Source organism: Homo sapiens, chromosome 5, assembly GCF_000001405.40.
Source record: "Homo sapiens chromosome 5, GRCh38.p14 Primary Assembly".
Lineage (NCBI taxonomy): Eukaryota > Metazoa > Chordata > Mammalia > Primates > Hominidae > Homo > Homo sapiens.
In genome coordinates, this window is record NC_000005.10 from 164322359 (window position 1) to 164343464 (window position 21106).

At 34.2% G+C, this 21106-nt stretch overlaps 1 long non-coding RNA gene across 1 annotated transcript in view, besides 1 other annotated feature; it reads left to right on the forward strand.

Annotated features, from left to right (window-relative positions):
* Window positions 1-21106, forward strand: part of LINC03000 (long intergenic non-protein coding RNA 3000) — a 765030-nt gene that overhangs the window by 25654 nt on the left and 718270 nt on the right. The gene's annotated exons all lie outside the window — the stretch shown is intronic.
* Window positions 4891-5091: a silencer, noted in NCBI's record as "peak5568 fragment used in MPRA reporter construct". NCBI's record gives its function as "represses an SCP1 promoter by STARR-seq MPRAs in K562 erythroleukemia cells {active_cell/tissue: K562}" and the evidence as "EXISTENCE:reporter gene assay evidence [ECO:0000049][PMID:32103011]".

The window sequence follows — 21106 nt, forward strand, 5'->3', positions numbered from 1 at the left end:
CAATGTTAAACTGCCAATCACGTTTTGCAGGTTTTAATCAGCAAGGATGAGTTCTCAGAAAGAAAAATATCTCATTTATCTCTCAAAATTTCCAAGTCATCTAGGGATACACCATGTACTGGTATTGAATACCAACAATGTAATGAACATTTTCACAATACATTGAAGATATGAGAGTAATAAAGATGTTTCTTTTTCTTTCTTTTTTTCTATTCAGTCATTATAGTAATTATTCTTACACTAGAGTTTTAATGAAATATGCAATGGAGTTTTGAATGCCTTTTAAATGTCAGGCATTGTTCTAGGTTCTGGGGATACAAAGGTGACTGAGACAGCCACGGTACCAGCCATTATGAAACAGGTACTTTAAAAGGAAAAAAATAAATACACAAAATCATAAGTAAGACAAAAAATAATTAAAAATGGTTTGGTGAAATATAAAATATGCATGGTGGAAGAGGACCTAGATCAGGTCACTTTTCTGTGACCTATAAGTATATACCAACATAGGAATACAAAATGCAAACTTGTTTATAATAGATTTGCTTACTCCTATTTAATTATGACTTAAGACCAATTGGGAGGCATTTCCATGTTTCTCCAAATCCAGTATTAATTCATCTAGACATAATGTTCACACATTATAAAACATTCCAAAAGACTAATTTTGGGGAAAACCTAAACCCAGAATAAATGTCCTTTTAGAAATCAATGCCTACGTTTTGTTTTCCAGAATGACTCCATTGGAATTTCTTTTCAGAAATCCACTTTGAAGCACTTTTTATTGTCTTTAATAAAATCATTTATCCGTTGGCATCTAAACAGACCAAGTGAGAAAATATTATCTCATTTACAAGATACACAAGTCAGAAAGGAGCTATGTTATTTTATTTGCTTTTTGTTCTTGTTAATATTATTATTAAAAAAGGGGATGACTTTAGTTTTAAAAATATTGAGTTTGGAATGAAAAAGGACCATTCAACATAGTCGAAAATGTGAGACAGGATAAAGCAAACAGAACCAGATAATGAGGGTAAAGTTGGAGATTTAATTTTGCAAGTTTCTGTCTCTCCCTACCACCCTATAGATATAGAAAACTTCATTTCTGTGGACATTGGTAACCATTGAGAAGAGTGTTCTGAGAATGGCAGGTGCCAGATTCCTGGGGAATTAGTCTGAATAAATTACAAGGAGAGGGAAATGGTCCACTGAAATCAGTTTCTAGAGAAGTCTCGTAGTAAACGGCACGAATACTATATGGGTTGTGCATAATAACTCAGTGTATTGCACCTGGTTTAGACATACATTTTTAAACATTTGTAACATCACTGATATTGGGATATACTGTAAAATTGATAATGTCTTAAAATTATAATATTTATTTTCTTAGCAAAGTATAAAATAAGAGTGGCTCTCATATTGATGGTCTTTTAGATTTGAATAATAATTGTTTTCTCCACGGTAAAGAAGAGTGAACTACTTGGGAAGTCTTGGGCAAGATAATTAACCTCCGAGTGCCTGAGAGTTTCTGTTTTTAGAATGGAAATAACGTAAAAGCAACTCATGCGGCTATGGTGGCCAAATAAGATAAATTATGTAAAAGTACTTTGTAAAATGCAAAGGGTTACAAATATGTAGGGATACAATCATCATCATTATTATTCTTTGGCTAAAGAGAACTTGCTCTTTGGCTAGAAAGCATAGTACATTCAAATAGGAAAGCCTGGATTGGATTGTTCTGAAGTTATATTAAGGCATCTATCAGCTACAATTCATCCTATAAGACACAACAGAATATAGGCACAAAGTGTAACATGCAAAATTTTATCAAAATATAAAGGTATGTATTGAGATTTTAATGTTAGCTTTTACATATAACCCACTGATAATAAAGCATACTAAGTTTGAAGATGCTTAGTCATTTGAATTATTTGATTGGACACAATTTTATTTCCTTTTTAATTTTCAAAGTTAAACTTTTTTTGTTATGTACTACTTCCTGCATATTTGCCTGTGTAATCAAATGAAAATTCCACTTTTTTCCCTATTTTCTTGCACTATCCAAGAAAGACAGCTATCACCTCAAACGTAGTCTTGTCACCTGTCAGAATCTCGTACTGCCTGAAGATGTAGTATAGGAGATAAAGAATCTGATTCCACAGTTTCCAGCATCAAAATGGACTGAATGATTGCAGGAACAAAAGGCAGAATTAAACAACCTTACCAGGAGACAGCTTTAGCTTGTGACCTTAGGCAATACATTTAATCTCTCTCATTCTCTATCTCTCTTAGACACTCAATCTGTAAAATAAGATTTATGATTTCTGCCAGCACATGTGGTTATGAAGCGACAATGCATCTATTTTATTGGTCAGAACAGAATCTCCATATATATTTGCAAAAAAGATTTAGGATTTGACTAAAATAAAACCACATGAAAATAAGTTGAATATTTGTTTATTTAACTGAGTTTTCAACAACAATGGACCTGTGATCTGTTGCATATCAAATAACGCCCCATAGACAGAGAAACTGAGGAAGAAATTGAGGCTGAGAACAGACCAAGTAAATGGATGAGAATATATCATGCTGGTAAATACCTTCCTCTGGTGATTGAGGCATATGTGAATAAATACAAGAAATACAGTGAATACTGAGTATATATAAGCTTAGAAAAATTAAAATGTGTTTTTCATTAGGGCCCTCATCTATTTGGAATTAAGGGACTTTTTTTATAATAGGAGGTGATTTCCTATTTTATGTCTGCTTGCTTGATCTTAAAATTTCAAAATACTTTTACATTAAACCTGATATTTTATAATTACTCCCACATCTGAAAAAAGCAAACGTGATACTATTTACAGGAAATTCCTAATAAACATTTCCTTTTGTGGTCATTTCCAATTCTCAGTGTTCCTTTCGCACCCATGACACTTTAGAGATTCCAATTGTTGCTAATAACAGGTGAAGGTCATTCAATTCCTCACTTATTGCCAGAAAAAGTATTTTACTGCTACTTTCACTGTGTAAGATTCCAGCATTCATCTCCTTATATTTCATAGAACAGTGAGAAATGTCAAATACAATAAATGGCGCAGTCTTTTAAAAGAATCCCCTTTTAAATGATAGGCATTTAAACACATTGATTGTAGAGTTCCTTGAAGGAAACTCTCTCTGTCTAGGGTCATTCTTGTCCAATTCTTCATGGATTTCTCTTTGCCAGAAGGCTTCCCTAAGCTATCAATTCCATTATGCCACTTTCTAGCTCAACAATCTTTCCATGTTACCTATATCTACATAAAATAAAGTCAAAATGTCTTTCTGTTTTAAGACCCACTGTTATCTCAAAAAACACTTTCTTCCCAAGGGCATCTTTCTTGACCCCTGAGAAATTAACCCAGGTTTCAGCCAGATTTGCGTGATCATAGAAAGAACAGCCATTTGAGAGGCCAAGTCAGGTGGATCACGAGGTTAAGAGATCGAGACTATCCTGGCCAACATGGTGAAACTCCATCTCTACTAAAAATACAAAAATTAGCCGGCCATGGTGGTGCACACCTGTAATCCCAGCTACTTGAGAGGCTGAGGCAGGAGAATTGCCTGAACCCAGGAGGCGGAGGTTACAGTGAGCCGTAATTGCGCCACTGCACTCCAACCTGGGCAACAGAGAGAGACTCTGTCTCAAGAAAGAAAAGCAGCCACTATTTTTGGAGCACTAATCTGTAATTACTCCCCACATAACCCTATAAAATTAAGTGTCTCCATTTTAAGATGAAGGAATTGAAGCTCAGAAAAAAGGAAGCAGTTTTTCTAGTTTTATGTAACTCTTAGTTGATAGAACCAAGAATTAAATCCAGATATAATAAATGTGTGTCTCCCTCTACCAGGCTAAGCACAGTCAAAGGAATACTGTGTGTCTCTGTCCATGCTTTATGCATGTGAAATGTTGATTTTCCTTAATGTCTACCACTCACCCAAGTCTTATGTTTCATTTTGATTTTAGTTAAACCATCCTCAGGTAGCCAAATGAGCCTTTCTGCCCCTAGTGGCCATTTCCTTTAGACCTTGTAGCACAAACTGACAATGCCACTCATAGGAAACCTCATCTAATCTTGTGATGTCTCTGGTTTTGTGATCTTTGCTTTTCATGGACATTACTTTCTGTTGGTTTTCCACTTTCCATTCACCCTATTTATGACATAAATACCATAATTTTTCTCCAAGGAATGAACCTCTACCTGACTTACATCTGTGTGTCAGAAGCACTCGATTTTATCTTGTTGTCTAGGTATGAAGATAGGGCTCAGACCAGTTCAATAAGAGCATACATTTCCCTGGGTACAATGATTTACTCAGGGATATATATGTGGCATAATTAAAGCCAAAAAAAGGTAATATGACTTTTATCTGTAGAGAGGGATTCTCTCTATTCTATTGGGACTCTGAGTGTAGAAGTAATGTGAGCTTGGAACCCTCCTAGATCCCATGGCTATCAGACCCTGATTTCGTTGGGCACCAGATATCGGGGGAACCAGCCCCCAATATTTCAACGTAGGTCCTTTCTATTTTCCCTAAGTGTCGGCCGGTCTGAGAAATAAAGAGAAAGAATACAAAGAGAGAAATTTTACAGCTGGGCCTCCGGGGGTGACATCACATATCGGCAGGTTCCGTGATGCCCCTTGAGCCGCAAAACCAGCAAGTTTTTATTAGGGATTTCAAAAGGGGACGGGGGTACAAACAGGGAGTAAGTCACAAAGATCACATGCTTGAAAGGGCAATAAAAGATCACAAGGGCAGAGAGTCAGAGCAAGATCACAAGGCCAGGGCGAAATTAGAATTACTGATGAGGTTCCATGTCCCACGGGGCACGCATTTTCATTGATAAACATCTTAACAGGAAACAGGGTTTGAGAGCAGACAATCAGTCTGACTAGAATTCGCCAGCCTGGAATTTCCTAATCCTAGCAACCCTGAGGGCACTGCAGGAGATGAGAGTGTATTTCATCCCTTATCTTCAAACACATAAGGCAGACACTCCCAGAGCAGCCATCCATAGACCTCCCCTGGGAATGCATTCCTTCCCCAGGGTTATTCCTTGCTGGAAAAAGAATTGAGTGATATTTCTCCTATTCATTTTCTGCAAGAAGAGAAATATGACTCTGTTCTGCCCGGCCCCACAGGCAGTCAGACCTTATGGTTATCTCCCTTGTTCCCTGAAAATCACTGTTACCCTGTTCTTTTTTAGGATGCCCAGATTTCATATTGTTCAAACACACATATTCTACAAACAATTTGTGCAGTTAACGCAATCATCACAGGGTCCTGAGGCGACATACATCCTTAACTTACGAAGATGACAGATTAAGAGATTAAAAACAGGCATAGGAAATTATAAGAATATTGATTGGGGAAGTGATAAATGTCCATGAAATCGTCACAATTTATGTTCAGAGATTGCAGTAAAGACAGGCTTAAGAAATTATGAAAGTATTAATTTGGGGAACTAATAAATGTGCATGAAATCTTCACAATTTATGTTCTTCTGCTGTGGCTTCAGCCAGTCCCTCCCTTCGGGATCCCTGACTTCCTGCAACACATGGCTGAGATTGGAAATAACGCAGCAGAATACAGAACTGGAATGTAGAAGGAAACTAATCCTAGTAACATAGTTTCAGCCCTTGGGTCAAGCTTCACTTTTCAGTTATGTGCCAACAAATTCCTTGTTTTTTTAAGACTAGTTCATGTTGGGTTTTATGAGAGCCTAGACCAGGGAATGGCAAATTGAATAGTTGTGATGAAGACCATCTGGCTTGCAAAGCCTAAAAGACTTACTATCATCTGGCCCTTTTTGGAAAAAAGTTACTGACTCTTGATGATCACCTCATGAATTTATGTATATAGTTAACTATATATATATTTTGGGAAAAGAAAACCAAATATATATATTTATATATGTATTTATATATAAATATGTATATTTATCTATGTATTTATATATAAATATGTACATTTATCTATGTATTTATATATAAATATATATATTTATATATGTATTTATATATCAATATATATATTTATATATGTATTTATATATCAATATATATATTTATATATCAATATATGTATTTATATATGTATTTATATATATTTATATATGTATTTATATATAAATATATAAATACGTATTTATATATGTATTTATATAAATACGTATTTATATATGTATTTATATAAATACGTATTTATATATGTATTTATATAAATACGTATTTATATATGTATTTCTATAAATATGTATTTATATATGTATTTCTATATAAATATGTATTTATATAAGTATTTCTATATAAATATATATTTATATATGTATTTCTATATAAATATATATGTATATATGTATTTATATATGTATTTCTATATATATGTATATATGTATTTCTATATAAATATATATTTATATATGTATTTATATATAAATACATATTTATATATACGTATACGTATATATGTATGTATATATACATGTATACGTATACGTATATATGTATGTATATATACATGTATACGTATACGTATATATGTATGTGTGTATATACATGTGTATGTATATATGTATGTGTGTATATACATGTGTATGTATATATGTATGTGTATATATACATGTGTATGTATATATGTATGTGTATATATACATGTGTATGTATTTATCAATACATATATATTTATATATGTATTTATCAATACATATATATTTATATATGTATTTATATATACATATATATTTATATATGTATTTATATATACATATATAAATATATGTATATATAAATATATATATTTATATATGAAATATATATATTTATATATGTATTTATATATAAATATATATGTATTTATATATAAATATATATGCATTTATATATAAATATATATGTATTCATATATAAATATATTATATATATTATGTTTATATATAAAAATATATATATTTATATATATAAATATATATTTTTATATTATATATATTTTTATATTATATATAAATATATTTATACATATATTTATATATAACATTTTATATATTTATATATTTATATGTAACATTTTATATATAAATATATTTATTTATATATATTTATATATAATATATATTATATATTATTTATAGAATATATATTATACATTATTTATAGAATATATATTATATATTAGTTATATAATATATAATATATATTATTTATATAATATGTAATATATATTATTTATATAATATATATTATTTATATAATATTTATTATATATTATTTATATAATATGTATGATTTATATAATATTTAATATATATTATTTATATAATATATAAATATATATAAATTATATATATTTATATATTTATATATATTTGGTTTTCTTTTCCTAAACAAACTTTTAAAAGATCCCTTAAACACTGTCTTTAAGACAGGAATCAATTTGGGCATCCACCATGATGTTTTACCCCATTCCCATCCTAATCATAATGCTTGGAATTGTTAATAAAAATTAAATGAATTCAATACATATGTATAAACCTTTGCTTTGCAGTGTTATCTGCATACAGAGGCCAGTCTATGAACTCTTTGTAAGTATAGAGTAAGTATAGAATTAAGACAAAGCATTTAGAAAGTTTAATAGCAATTTAATCTTGTTTTGTCTTCAAGTGTATGATCATTTTCTTCCTACTAATTAATTTTATTGCATTTTACAAAAGTATTATTCTGCAATAGAATGGGGAAAATATGTAATTTTTCAACATAGTTTGAGAATCTCTCTGTTCCGTTCATGAACTCTATGCTTGAGTATGTGTGTGTGTATATATATATATGTAAATATATGTGTATTTGTATGTGTATATATATGTATATATACGTGTGCATGTGGATAGATAGATAGGTATTCTTCCCTAGGTTCTGAATTTATTAAGGATAGGATTATATTTATCTTTGGAGTTTTAAAGTTTTAAAGAAGTATATTTTCTTGATCTGTGATAGTCTTCTAAACATCAACATCAAACTACATGCAAACTTAGTAGGCATTGTATTCTTATTTACTAAAGTGAATAAAATTACAAAGTAATGTCAAACTGGAGGGAAAGGACTGTGCCTATGTTGTCCTCTTTATTTGGTACACTATTACAAATGGATCTTTGCCTTCCAACACAAGAGGTCCAATTTCTTTTAGGGATTCATTCCTTCTTAAAATAGCCTCACTGTTCACTTGAAGATCTACGGCTACCCTCACTGATTCACATGGTTTGAGTGGGGCATTATTATCTGTGTCAGGACCATGACCACCAGCATATTAAATTTCCTTCTCCACAGTGTTTGGTTCAGGTATGGGCTAGTGAATAAGACCTGTGAATTAGAGCTTCTGCTGGGATTGCTTGGACTAAGAATCTGAATTTTTTTAAGTGTTGGATTTGTTGTGTATTTTCTGTGGTACTTGTTGAATCCCACATGATATGTCCCCAGGAGATGCAGGTGATCTTCCTGTGACCATGAAGGGAGAGACCAAGGGAATGAGAGAAACACATGGAGGTGAAAAGAGTTTAGCCAGGAGAGAGTCTGGATCCTGGCAACAATGTCTAAAGCCCCTGAATAAAGCTCCACCTGAAGCCATCCCAGCCACTGTGCTTTCTAAATACACGAGGCAATAAATCCTATTTATGTGTTTCTTTATCCTCCTTCACCAGTTTCTATTGTGTTTTGTAATGCTATCAGGGGAGAAGGCCCTGATACAGATACATAGTGTCATATCACATTCAAACTAGCATTTCCCTGTAATTAACTACTTCTACCAAAAGAAAATTTCAGTAAGAACTTTGGACTTCAGTCCTTTTCATTTTATTGAGCTGTTAAAAATGAAAGGGTAGAAGTTTCATCTCAGAAAGGAAACTTATATGTAAAAAGTTTTTATAAAACAAAATGTGTTAGTGATTAATGTGATCAACACTAGAAGAACAAAATGTCTGAAAAGACCTCAGACAAATGAACACTATCTTAAGTGCTTCTTTTGCTTCTTCTGATCCAGCCACATCTAATTTTGAGAAAAACACTATGGTTAATCTTCTCAATTTTCTGACTTAACTCTTAATCTTGAAAATTCACATTAATGGGTAAAATTAATGGCAAGCTATTCTAATTAATTTGGATTGATATTCCATAGACAGAGCTTTAAAGGAACGAAGATTTCTCATTGTAATGATCACAAGCGAACATTTACCAAACCCAATTTTATACTAGCTTATAAACTCTTTCTGTACTTATTTGTTTGCTATTAAAACACTGATGTACATGTATTCATAACTGCTTATGGTGCTAAGCACTCTTTTAAGTGTTCTAAGTAGTTACACAGTATTCATTTACCTATACATCTTTTCGTGTATAGACACATCTCATTTAATTCTAATAACAGTCCACAAACTGGGTACATTTATTAGACCTATATCGTAGAGGTGGAAACTAAGGCAAAGAAAAATTAAATAACGAGTAAAATTTTAAGCCCTGTGCCTTTTTACCACGTTTATATTATGGATTTTTTCTTAAGAACCTTATCTTGCCTGCAGCATTTGTATGATATGAATGACACATTTTACTTTGTTAGAAGTAAGTATAGTCAAATTGGTTTTTTTTTTTTTGCAGGATCAATCCCTTTCTTCCCATCAGGCTGTGTAATTCTACACAACTTAAGAGGGTTACCTTTTCTGATTTCCTCACCAAATTTAATTTACAGTTACTAGAAGACAGCAAGTCAGTCATGAATATTGTTGTATTCGACATCGTTGGGCTGGATAAGTAGCAGGTATTCAGCAAGTATTTAGAGCTTAATTGGGAATTTCATGGCTTGTTTGGGTGTTTTCAATATATATATATAATATATTATATATATTCAATATTATATATTGAATATATAATTGAATATATAATTGAATATTGAATTTTTAATTTTTATTTTGGTAATATGTAAATAATGAAGTTGCATTTGATTCCGAAATAGGGCGAGTAAGGACACCTAAAGGTCAATACAGCTAGCTTTTAGGAATAATAAGTTTCTAATAGCAAACTCTCAAGTCAGAGTACTTTCTGCAAACGCAAGGAAATCTGTTCAGTTGAAAAAGTCCCCAAGTGCTTGACAAATGAGTTCTAAGAGTCCCTTGGAAGGTATTGCACAATTATTTGGCTGCTGACATTAAAGATGTGTGTGCATTTGTGTATTAAGGACCACACACACAAAAGATAGCTATTGTTATATTTCTTTTTTTTCCTGTGCCCCCAGGGTATTCATAGATGCATAGAACCAAAACACTATCATCCCATACCATAATAATCAATGCAAGCAATTCAGTGTCTCTGATGTTGACAAATTGGCTCTACAAAATAGCCCTGTCAGCAAATTTACCTTCAAACAGGGTGGATGATATGGACTGAGTCTCCTACAGAAATTGGCCCAGTGCCCACAAAGAAAATTGGCAATCTTTACTAACAATTTCTAACTATACAGTGGTTTGGGACTTAATATTGTAATTGCACTCTAAGCCTCAATTTATTTCGAATATGATCCTCAGAAAGGTTGAAATCCTCATCTTACAGGTGTTTATATATTCATCTCAAAGCAAAATTGTTAACTCAGCATTATGGCTTAGAATGTAAATCTGCAATAGCCAGAAAACTCAACATCATTGCCCTCAGAGCAATTATAACTTCACCTCTTGCCCCTAAATGGCTTTTTATTTTATTAGATATAATCTAAGCTGGTCTTTTCTCAACATTTACATAAAATAAATTTCTTCAAATAAAAAAATGTGGCCTATGTTTAATTTTTTTTCATAAGTAATTGCTAAAACTCGGTTGGCCAACAAGTTTTTAAGCCATATATTTCATGAGGAAAGTATAAGGGGATTTTAAAGTTATAAAATCTGTCTTGAGGAAAGAAGGATGAAGTAGAAGAAAAAGTGGTACCAAATGCATTTTTTACTAGCCCTTAAAATGATTAAGTAACACTCCCATTACTCTACTCTCATAGACACTAGTAGAATCACTCCTGTTTCCAAAAATGTATATTTAGTGTATGTAAAGACAGCCTAAAATGTTTGGTTTTACAAATGGTGTGTGTGTGTGTGTGTGTGTGTGTGTGTGTGTGTATGCATATACATATCGAGAGACTAAGAGATTATTTCATTGCTCTCTAAGAATATTCTATAAGTCAGAAATCACACTTCTGAATTTTCTGAGTTAACATATAGCATCTATCCATCATAGTGTTAGGTACTCCTAAAGTCTTCACACAGTTAAGATATCTTATTTTTAATGGAACTTGTGTGCACGGCTCTACAGTTTTTCATATTTTGAAGGGGGGGAAATGGGAGATGCTCCAGTGAAATAATTTAGAAATGAGTATTGCTACTTGGATTTTTCTGTTTTAAAAACATACTGTATAGAATAAATTAATTGTATGAATTCTCTCTCGGGAGAAAACATCAAATAGCCTTAACTCTGAAGAACACAATAAAGTTTGTGATTAAGTATATCTGTGATCATCTTGTCCAGAAAAGCCATAGACTTTTCAGATAAAAGCGATTACTCATGGAGTAAGACTTGTAATGTTTTTTTTTCTTAAAGAATGCAGGTGGTAGAATCATACTAATTGCCTAGAGAGTTACAGTTTTTGAAAATGAAATTGTACTCTCATCAGGCATTATACATATTGAACAAGAAAGGCCAAACTGGATATACTCTTTTGAAAATTGCTGTATAAACTCTACTAGACATTAGAGTTTAGCTGATACATGCTAAGAGTAGTATTTTGCATAAATATTCCACAATATTGAATGTGTTTTTCCTGCCTGTAATTAGAGCTCTGATTTACTGATAGAAATACTAACTATGGGATAACAATTAGAATGCATGCCTCATAATTGCCGGAATGTAAATCGAGTCTCTTGATTTAAAAGAAAATTAAATAAATACACAAGCACACATACACACACACTTTCTTGAAAGAAAGCACAAAATATTTTAAGGTAAAATATTAGCTATAAGCATATAACCTTTACAATTTCATTTGAATGAATGTGAATTAATTTAAGTTTTATATCTGTATATCCAACTACTAGACATAACTTTAGGACAAGCAAACTATATGAAACCCAGATATTATGTACAAAATTCATGGATGTTTTTGTTTTCATAATGTAAGCCAGAAAAGACCAGGTTGATCAGTCCTCCCTGCTTTATACAATGAAGTATTTTAACTTCGGCTAACATTTGAATACATTTGTGAGCCTCACAGGAGGTACGTTTCTTCTACTAAAGCATTTGAGCAAGTTTCAGATTTTCACCCTGGCATGTACTTGACATGTTTTTCCTTTTGGGGCACAGAATGAGCAAACCTAAGAAAAAATTTCTAAGTTAGGCCAATTATAATTTCCTTCAAAGCAAACGGGCATTAATTATTCAGTGGCTTAACATCTAGTCATTTCTGAGAAAAGCAAGATGTGGTGTCAAAGTGCTTTGTGCCCTTGGTCCATGCTGTATTTTCTATGTATCCCCAAAGTAATCCTCATAGGGACAGGAAACCAGAAACTATATTTGATATACTTTATAAGGCTATAAGTAATGAATTTGAAGGTTGCTGTGATTTCCTTATTTGGAAACCCATCTTTCTGAAATGACAGTAAATTAATTTTAGAATTAAACTACCCACTCTAAGTATTGAGAACTTCAAATGTTCAACTTCTTCACCTTGCAAATGCCAAGTTATTCCTCATATTTACATTATCATCATTGTTTAATTTTATAACTGTATTCTTCTTTTAATTGTTTTCAATAATGGCTACCTCTACCAAATATCCTCATTAATAATTAAGTTATGTAGGACTTTACAGTTTATAGGGTGTGAAATTAGATCAGTTTCATCTACATAAAATTAGAACAATTTAGAAAGTACTCTAAAATATATGTGAATGAAAAATTACCCAAATTTCTACCACTAGGCGTGTCATCATTTTTAAATGTTTTCTATTTATCACTGCATTGATCTTTTGATTACCCTAACAAGCAGTTATGAAAAGCAAATTTATCTCAAGTTGGTAAGTGATAACATGAGATGTACAAGATGGTCAAGAACTGTTTAGTTATCAATTTGGTTAAAAAAGAAAAAAAAGTGACTTTTTGGTCTAAATTGTATTTGAGACAGGGCCAGTAGCTTCATTTTGATCAGGTAGATATTCTGTTTTTGAAGGTTAGATGCTACTGGATGTAATATGTTGCTTTTTGTCACAATAATGAAGACTTTGAATGAAGAAAACAATGATATATCTGAAAAGTTGTATATAATTTGTAAAACTACAGTTTTAAATCAAATTATCTGATCTGGCAAAGTGGAGGAGCAGGTAGAGGAGAAATAGAGGAGGGATAAAAAAAGGAGAAGGAGAAATGAAAGAATAATATTGGCCAAATAATGATTCTTGAATATTCCATATACTACATTTGACTCATATAGGGTTATTCAAGTCATGTTTAAACCTTTCTGGAATATATTTTGCTATTATGCCCCAGGAGATTATATGACTCCTGTGACATAATTCCGGTGAACTTTAAGAATGAGAGCCCTGGAAGTCTCTAAATGATGACTCATTGAAATGTAATGAGATAATGTTGTCTTATGACTAACCTGAAAGTACTTTTGCAACATGTAAAGTGTCAAAATCCATTAGAATATTGAAAGAGGGAGAAAAAATACAAGTAGGTTCTTTCTGTATACTTTAGTCAGTGTTGAGAATGAGAATAATAATTTTTAAAAGGGCAGCAGATTTACTTAAAACTTAAAAGTAACTACTGAAATACCGCTTTGGGTGTCCCACACCCTAGTCACAAATTAATTTCAGTCCTCAAATATAGCCAAATTGCCAACATGTCAGTTAACACAATATAACCTGTCATGTTGCCCACTGGGATGAGGAGTGATAGAGCTGGAGCCCACGGTGGCTGAACCTCATCATGCTTTGCCAGAAGAAAACAATGAACTTCTCAACCTCAGAGACACAAATGCTCTTTTTGATTTAATTCCAAATCAGCTAAGCTCTTTGGCATTAAATAAACCTTTTCACAGGCATTCTGTAACAACAATCATTTCCCAGGTTTGTTGTAATCATAATTCTCCACAAGACCTCAGCAAGCTTAAAAAGTATTTTCACATCTTTGCTGGAGGAATAGGCTTTTCTGTGTATTCATTCTGGGGAAGAGCATACCTGCACTTGTACTCAGTTTTGTATTTGAAAGTTGTAAAGATGGGCCTATTTTTTTTTTCCTTTTCTTCTTCTTCTTCAAAACATTCATAATGCTCATCTTTCTTTCCACAATTTGAAGAATACAATTGCTTTATTTCTAAAGCTCCTCTCTAAACAAATCCAAATTGTGGGATTCTAGAATTTAAACACCTTTTATATATTTGGGAAATATGCAAATGAAGGATTGGTGGGCTTGCATTACTATAGAAGTGAAATAAAGTCACCAGCCATGAAAATACAAGATAAAATGTACAACAAAGGGAAGCAGTGGCAGGGCAACAGAGAGAGAAGCCGAGGGAGATTGTGATTATTTACCCTGGCAGAGAGGACAGAACCACAAATAATGGGATGGAATGCTAAAATGAGAGAGGGAGAAAGAATCCTGATAGAATGTGGGTAAAAAATGTTCTGACAGAGAGAATTGGATTCAGAAGTACTGTCCTAAGGGAGATGGTGGAAAATCCATTACTCAGTACATGAGTAATGGGACAGGACCCAGTCCTGGAGACTGTGTTGTAGATAGTGATTCTGTATCAGCTCCCTGGGGAATGGACTAGAGGGTTTTGGAGCTAGCTTATTTCCGTCATTATTTTTGACCAGTTCCAAATAGCTTGACCATTTTTGAGTATATGTGCCTAGAAAAAATGAAGCTTACTGAAATTTCTGATAAAAGCAAAAAGAGAGGGTTATATTCCTTGCTTTTACCATTGGTAAAACTGATTGGTGGGCCTAGGGACTATTATCAGGAGGAGGCAAGTAGGACACAATAATGACCTGAGTCCCAGTGGACTCAATGCCAGTACCCTGGCATCTAGGATCTTCCTCAGGTGACTCCGACGAGTTTGCCTCTGCTTGGAAGGAAGTCATCTCTCAAACCAATACTGGCTTTTTCAGTTGGCTCAGGTTGCCCTGTATATTAGTCCATTCTTGCATTGCTATGAAGAAATACATGAGACATGGCAATTTATAAAGAAAAGAAGCTTAATTGGCTCACAGTTCTGCAGGTTGTACAAGAAGCATTGAAGCTTCTCTTTGGGGAGGGAGGCCTCAGGAAGCTTCCAATCATGGTAGAAGGCAAAGGTGGAGCAGGCATCTCGAATGCCAGGAGTAAGAGCAAGGGAGAGGGAGGGTAGGTGCTACACACTTTTAAACAACCAGATCTCATGAGTAGTCACTGTCATGAAGACAGTACCAAGGGGGATAGTGCAAAACCATTCATGAGAAACCCACCCCCATGATCCAGTTACCACCCATCAGGCCCTACCTCCAACATTGGAGATTGGAATTCGACATGAGATTGGGTGGGGACACAGATCCAAACTATATCATCCTGATAGAGAGGAGATATTATCATATGTTATAGGAAATAAAGACCAAGAACCAATTTTCTTCTTACCTCTATTCCCCATAGACTATTAGAGTCGATGTTTCTCTTGAATGATTTTTGTCACATTGTAGTGGAATTAATTATGTTAATTAAGGCAACCAGAGTCCCCATTCTGATTTACCTACTATAGCTGCTACGTTTGACAGAATATGCACCAAAAATGCCTAATCAGATTCCTGTGGTCCAGGGAACAGGAGGCCTGCAGAGGTGAGAACACCACTTATAGCCAGGTAACACCCAGCAAGTGTCTTAATTTCTCGGAGTCAGTTTTGTCAATTTTAAAATGGCATTAGTGATTCTGTAAGAGGATTTCTGAAAAGTTTATGTCAATAAATATCTGGCAGTGTGACTAGCATTTAGTAGGATCTCACAAACTAAGATTTCTAACTTTGGAAGCTGCCCTCAGAGAGTCACTGTTAGGTTTGTTTGAATGCATTTTGTAAACTGTGTCCTGTGAGTGGTTCCTTCTTTCCCTCTCTGATCCTCAGTTTTCTTCATCTGGAAAATAAGGAGTTAGAAAGAGGGAAACTGTAATATCAGTAAAGATCATATTCCTATACTTTTGGCGGCAATGTAAATAAATGTAGTAGAGGTGATGGGTAATTTGTTTATGGCCAAAATTAAAATATTAGTGATAAAAATTAAAATGTATATCCCTAACCCCGGAAGCTCTATTTAATGATTATCGATTTTCTTCAAGCCTTTGTATGCCTAATTATACTAGCAGTAAACAAGAAGAGAGTAAATTGGATAACATTCTCCACACCTAGCCTAGCATGGAGACTTTGTTTTGGCAAAGCACTTCCTGTAACAACTGATCAATGGAACATATTTCGGGAAAAGATGATCTAGGAAGTAGGCAAAATTTGTACACAGAAATAGAGGAAATCACACTTATAAATTACTTTCTACATGCCAGGCTTCCTGGTAGGTGGAAGAAGACAACACAATGCATTCAGTAAGCACATGATAAATAAATGAGTGAATATTGTCCCATTTGATCCCCATATTAACCTTATGAAGTAGATATTGTCCTATTTTTTTTAAATGTAAGCTTCTGGAGGTATAGTCTTCATTCCAAAATTAGACAGGTCTGTTTTCCTCTCTCATGTGTGCTCTTCTTATTATACCATACTGGACAAGGACGTCAGGTAGGGGCTTTGGGAGGCAGGGAGAGGAAGTGACTCTATTCCTGAAAGACTACCTAGGGATAGTTAACCGGGGAATTTATAAGATTATAGTGGATTAAAGAGGGTGGACATAGACACATTCTTTAGCTTTTTGTATTCTTTTGGGGGAACCTGCACCTTAAAGTTTTTTAATGAATAGAGAACAGATTTACATCACCTAACAGTTGATAAACACAGCACAGTCATAAGAAGTTATGCATGCTGGAAAAGTCTAAGCAGAAGAATAAATGTTTCATACTAATGAATTGCATTTAGATAAATAAATGGGTAATGTTAAGAGTAGTAACTTGCCCGCTTGATCCCAGATACCTTAGCTACATTACAACACTATTCTCAAACTACTCACTAATAAATAGTTGTACCTTTGTTTTATGGATAATTTAACTGAGACACAGAGAAGTTGAGCAGTTTGCCCAAGGTTCCTCAATGAATTAGCTGAGATTTGAATTCAGGTCCAATAAGTAAATTATCTATGCATTTTATTCTAGTGTGCTGTGATATAGGGGTGGGGAGAAGATCTTTAAAAGTGAAAGTCAAGGAGTGCCACAGTGAAATTACAAATTAGACTTTTGTGCTACAGGCTAATGGACTATGTTGTCTGGGGTTTAAGGATATGTTCTGGGGAATACTATGTGCATGCTAGGAAGGTATGTTAGTATGTGGGAGAGAAAAAGGGAAACAGAGGGCGAAAGAGAGGTAAGGAGAGAAGGGGAGGTCAGGGAAAAGTAGGGCAGAGAAGAGAAAAGTAGGGGAGAAGAAAAAGCAGGAAGAGGGCTCCATTTATTAAAAGGCTATTTATCATGCATTGTTAATGTTAGTTTTGAAGGTAGATAACCAATAACCCACGCTGTGAAGGGTAGTAAATTAATGCTGGTGGATTTTCAAAGCTAGAATCTCTCTCTTTTGCAAATGTGGGCATTTCATTCAGAAGTCCCTCATGCATCTCAGCTCCCACATTTTAAATTAAATTTCCTTATTACTTTTTAAGTAGCTTGTCATGGATTATTGAGTATTTACTGTATGTTTATACTGTAATTCTCTGAAATGACATACAGTAATTGCTTTAGCTACTGCATCTGATGTCTAATTACTGTAAATGCATGTAAAGAAGTAATTAAATGGAAAAAAATAAACTTTTCCCTCCTAACTTTGTATTACAGAAAAAGCAGAGGATGCTAGTTCTTTCTCTGATTTTTGGTAAAAGTAAACTCAGGTGCAAGCAGAGTGATGAACAAGTCGCTCACGTGTTCCAGCCTACTTCCACTGGAGATGGCAGAGTGGCCCTGCTTCTGAGCATGAGTTGGGAACTCAAGCTGCCTCCTTCCATGCCCTAAAGTTAAACCAAGGCTTTCTCTTTTCAAACATGTTTCTTGTACACCTTACAATTCTAATCCAAAATGCAACAGGCTATCTCAAAACATTTTGCATAAAGCAGGCCTCTAGAAGTTTCTCATACAATTGTATATTTTTAAGAAGCTCAAAAAAGTGTCACAGAAACAAACAAAACCCCACAACATTTTGATAAATTTTTTGTTCAATTTTGCAGAGTTTGGTTACTTTTTAAGTGAATGGCAAACAGCAGCCCTTCTAACTGTTTAGGGTTATACAAATGATTGTGAACAAGATGATGATAGAACCTAGTAGTACAAACCTAAACTGGGAGTTTCAGGGGTGAGGGTTTATTTTAACATCAAAAACAACAGCACTCTACTGCTTAGTAAATGCCAAAAGTTGTCAAATAGCATTTTTTTTTCCACAGGAAAAGAAATCACAGCAGGATGGACTTAAAGCAAGATCTGAAATTAAAGACTGCATTATTCCTCTCATCCTTCCAAGGGCAGGTGAACACAGAGGGGCATTTTCTACCACTGAGCTAATAATAAAGGCAGACACAAAGAGCCCATTGCAATCTTACTGCTGGTAAAGTTAAGTTGATCCAATCTTTTTCTGACCTTTTGAATTGCCAATTGGAAAAGCACACACAAATGGCCCTCAGCTGAGAAGCAGCTCAGTGAGTGTTCTGGACAACCCGTGGTCATCCCCTTGAGCAAGGAGTTTGAAAAGGGACAAGATCTGTATTCTGCCTTTAAGATCTGGAGACTTTCCACTCAGTGGTTTAGTCTGGAAGTGCATCCCTTCCTGCTGTCAGTCTAAACTAGACTCCATTATTTACCTCCCTTTTGAGTGCAATAGAAATACTCTGTTTCTGCCCCCAGGCTGACAAATCTGAAGCTGCAAGAAGCCAATCGTGTGAACTTAGTAATCAATTTGATTAATGTGAATAAAGTTGGCATTTTGCCTCCTTTATGACTGGGTAAAATTAATGCTAAACATCAGGAGAAGGTGTCCCTCAGCTAAACTAAAGAATTGGAGCAGAAGAGGGAAATCCTTGGGATTCTATCACAGTGCTTAGCAAACCTAGATTTATAACCTTTTCTTCTTTGGCAAGATGCTCTACATATGAACGTTAAAAACAGCCTGCACACAATGCTTCATAGTCTTCTTTCCTATCCTCATTCTTCAATTCCCTGAAGTAACCCTTTGAGGCACTTTTTTGGTATCCCAGGGCTTTTTGGAATACAATTTTATTTTATTTATTCATTTATTTGAGATGGAGTTTCGCTCTTGTCGCCCAGGCTGGAGTGCAATGTGATTTCAGCTCACTGCAAACTCCGCCTCCTGGGTTCAAGCCATTCTCCTGTCTCAGCCTCCTGAGTAGGTGGGATTACAGGTGCCCGCCACCACACCTGGCTAATTTTTGTATTTTTAGTAGAGATGGGGTTTCACCATGTTGGCCAGGCTGGTCTGAAACTCCTGACCTCAGGTGTTCCACCCACCTTGGCCTCCCAAAGTGCTGAGACTACAGGTGTGGGCTACTGTGCCAGGCCCACAATTTTTAAAATTTCTTTTTTTTTTCCCCCTGCGACAGAGTCTTGCTCTGTTGCCCAGAGCTGGAGTGGAATGGTGTGATTTCGGCTCACTGCAACCTTCTCCTCCCAGGTTCCAGTAATTCTCCTGCCTTAGCCTCCTAAGTAGCTGGGATTAGAGGCACCCACCACCATGCCCAGCTAATTTTTGTATTTTTAGTAGAGATGAGGTTTCACCATGTTGGCCAGGCTGGTCTCGAACTCCTAACCTTGTGATCCACCCGCCTCGGCCTCCCAAAGTGCTAGGATTATAGGCGTGAGCCACTGTATGCAGCCTAAAAAGTTATTTTTAGAAGTAATGTATTCATTGACTTGTCTGGTAGTATGATTATTTATTTCTTCAATGAAAAGATATTTTTATATGCCAAGCAGTACTCATAATTTCTTTAAGGTTCAAGAGTAGCAGCCTACCTCCTCCAAAGACATTGCAAAAACAAAGCTGCCTGGATAATTCAGATGAATAGTCTTGTCCACAAACTTCTTTTCTGCTTATCACAAAAATTGAGATATTCAAGTTTAACTTACAGGTTCAATGTCAAAAAGAACGACCAGTGAATATTAGGGCAGTCACCAATCTAGTTCAATGTTATCTATACTTTTTTGAATAATGGATATGTACCTTGAATGTCTTAGAACTCTATGGATGGAATTTGATGAATTCATCTTCATGGCAAGAAAATCATCATTAGGTAGATAATAATAGCAAATATGTATTTCTTTTTTCTTCTATCCTTGACATATATATATATATTATGTGTTGACTTATATATGTTATATGTTGACGTATGTATAGTATATATGTTATGTGTTGACATATATATATAATATATACATGTTATATGTTGTTGCCATTTTATAGGTGAGTAATCTGAAACACAGAATGGTTCAACAACTTCTGCAAGATCACACAATTGTAGCAAATGGTAGTGACTGGATCTGAAAACAGGCAGATTAGCTGCCCTGCCTGGATTCATAACCACCACTCTCTATTGGCTCTGGAGATATGATCCAATAAAGAGTCCAACTCTGCCAAAGCAGCACCAAAACAACTAGATGCTGGCTACAGATGTAAATGAATTTGAGCAGCTAAAAGATACTTTACCCCTTCTGTTCTCTAACCATCTCTCCTCCACCAGCCCACACAGATTCACATTAATGCAAAAATCTCCATTTGAACTGAAAGTGAACTTTCATCATTAGAGATTAATTTCTGTGGGTTTTGTTGTTGTTGTTGTTGTTGTTTTGTTTTGTTTTTTTGAGATAGGTCTCGCTCTGTCAC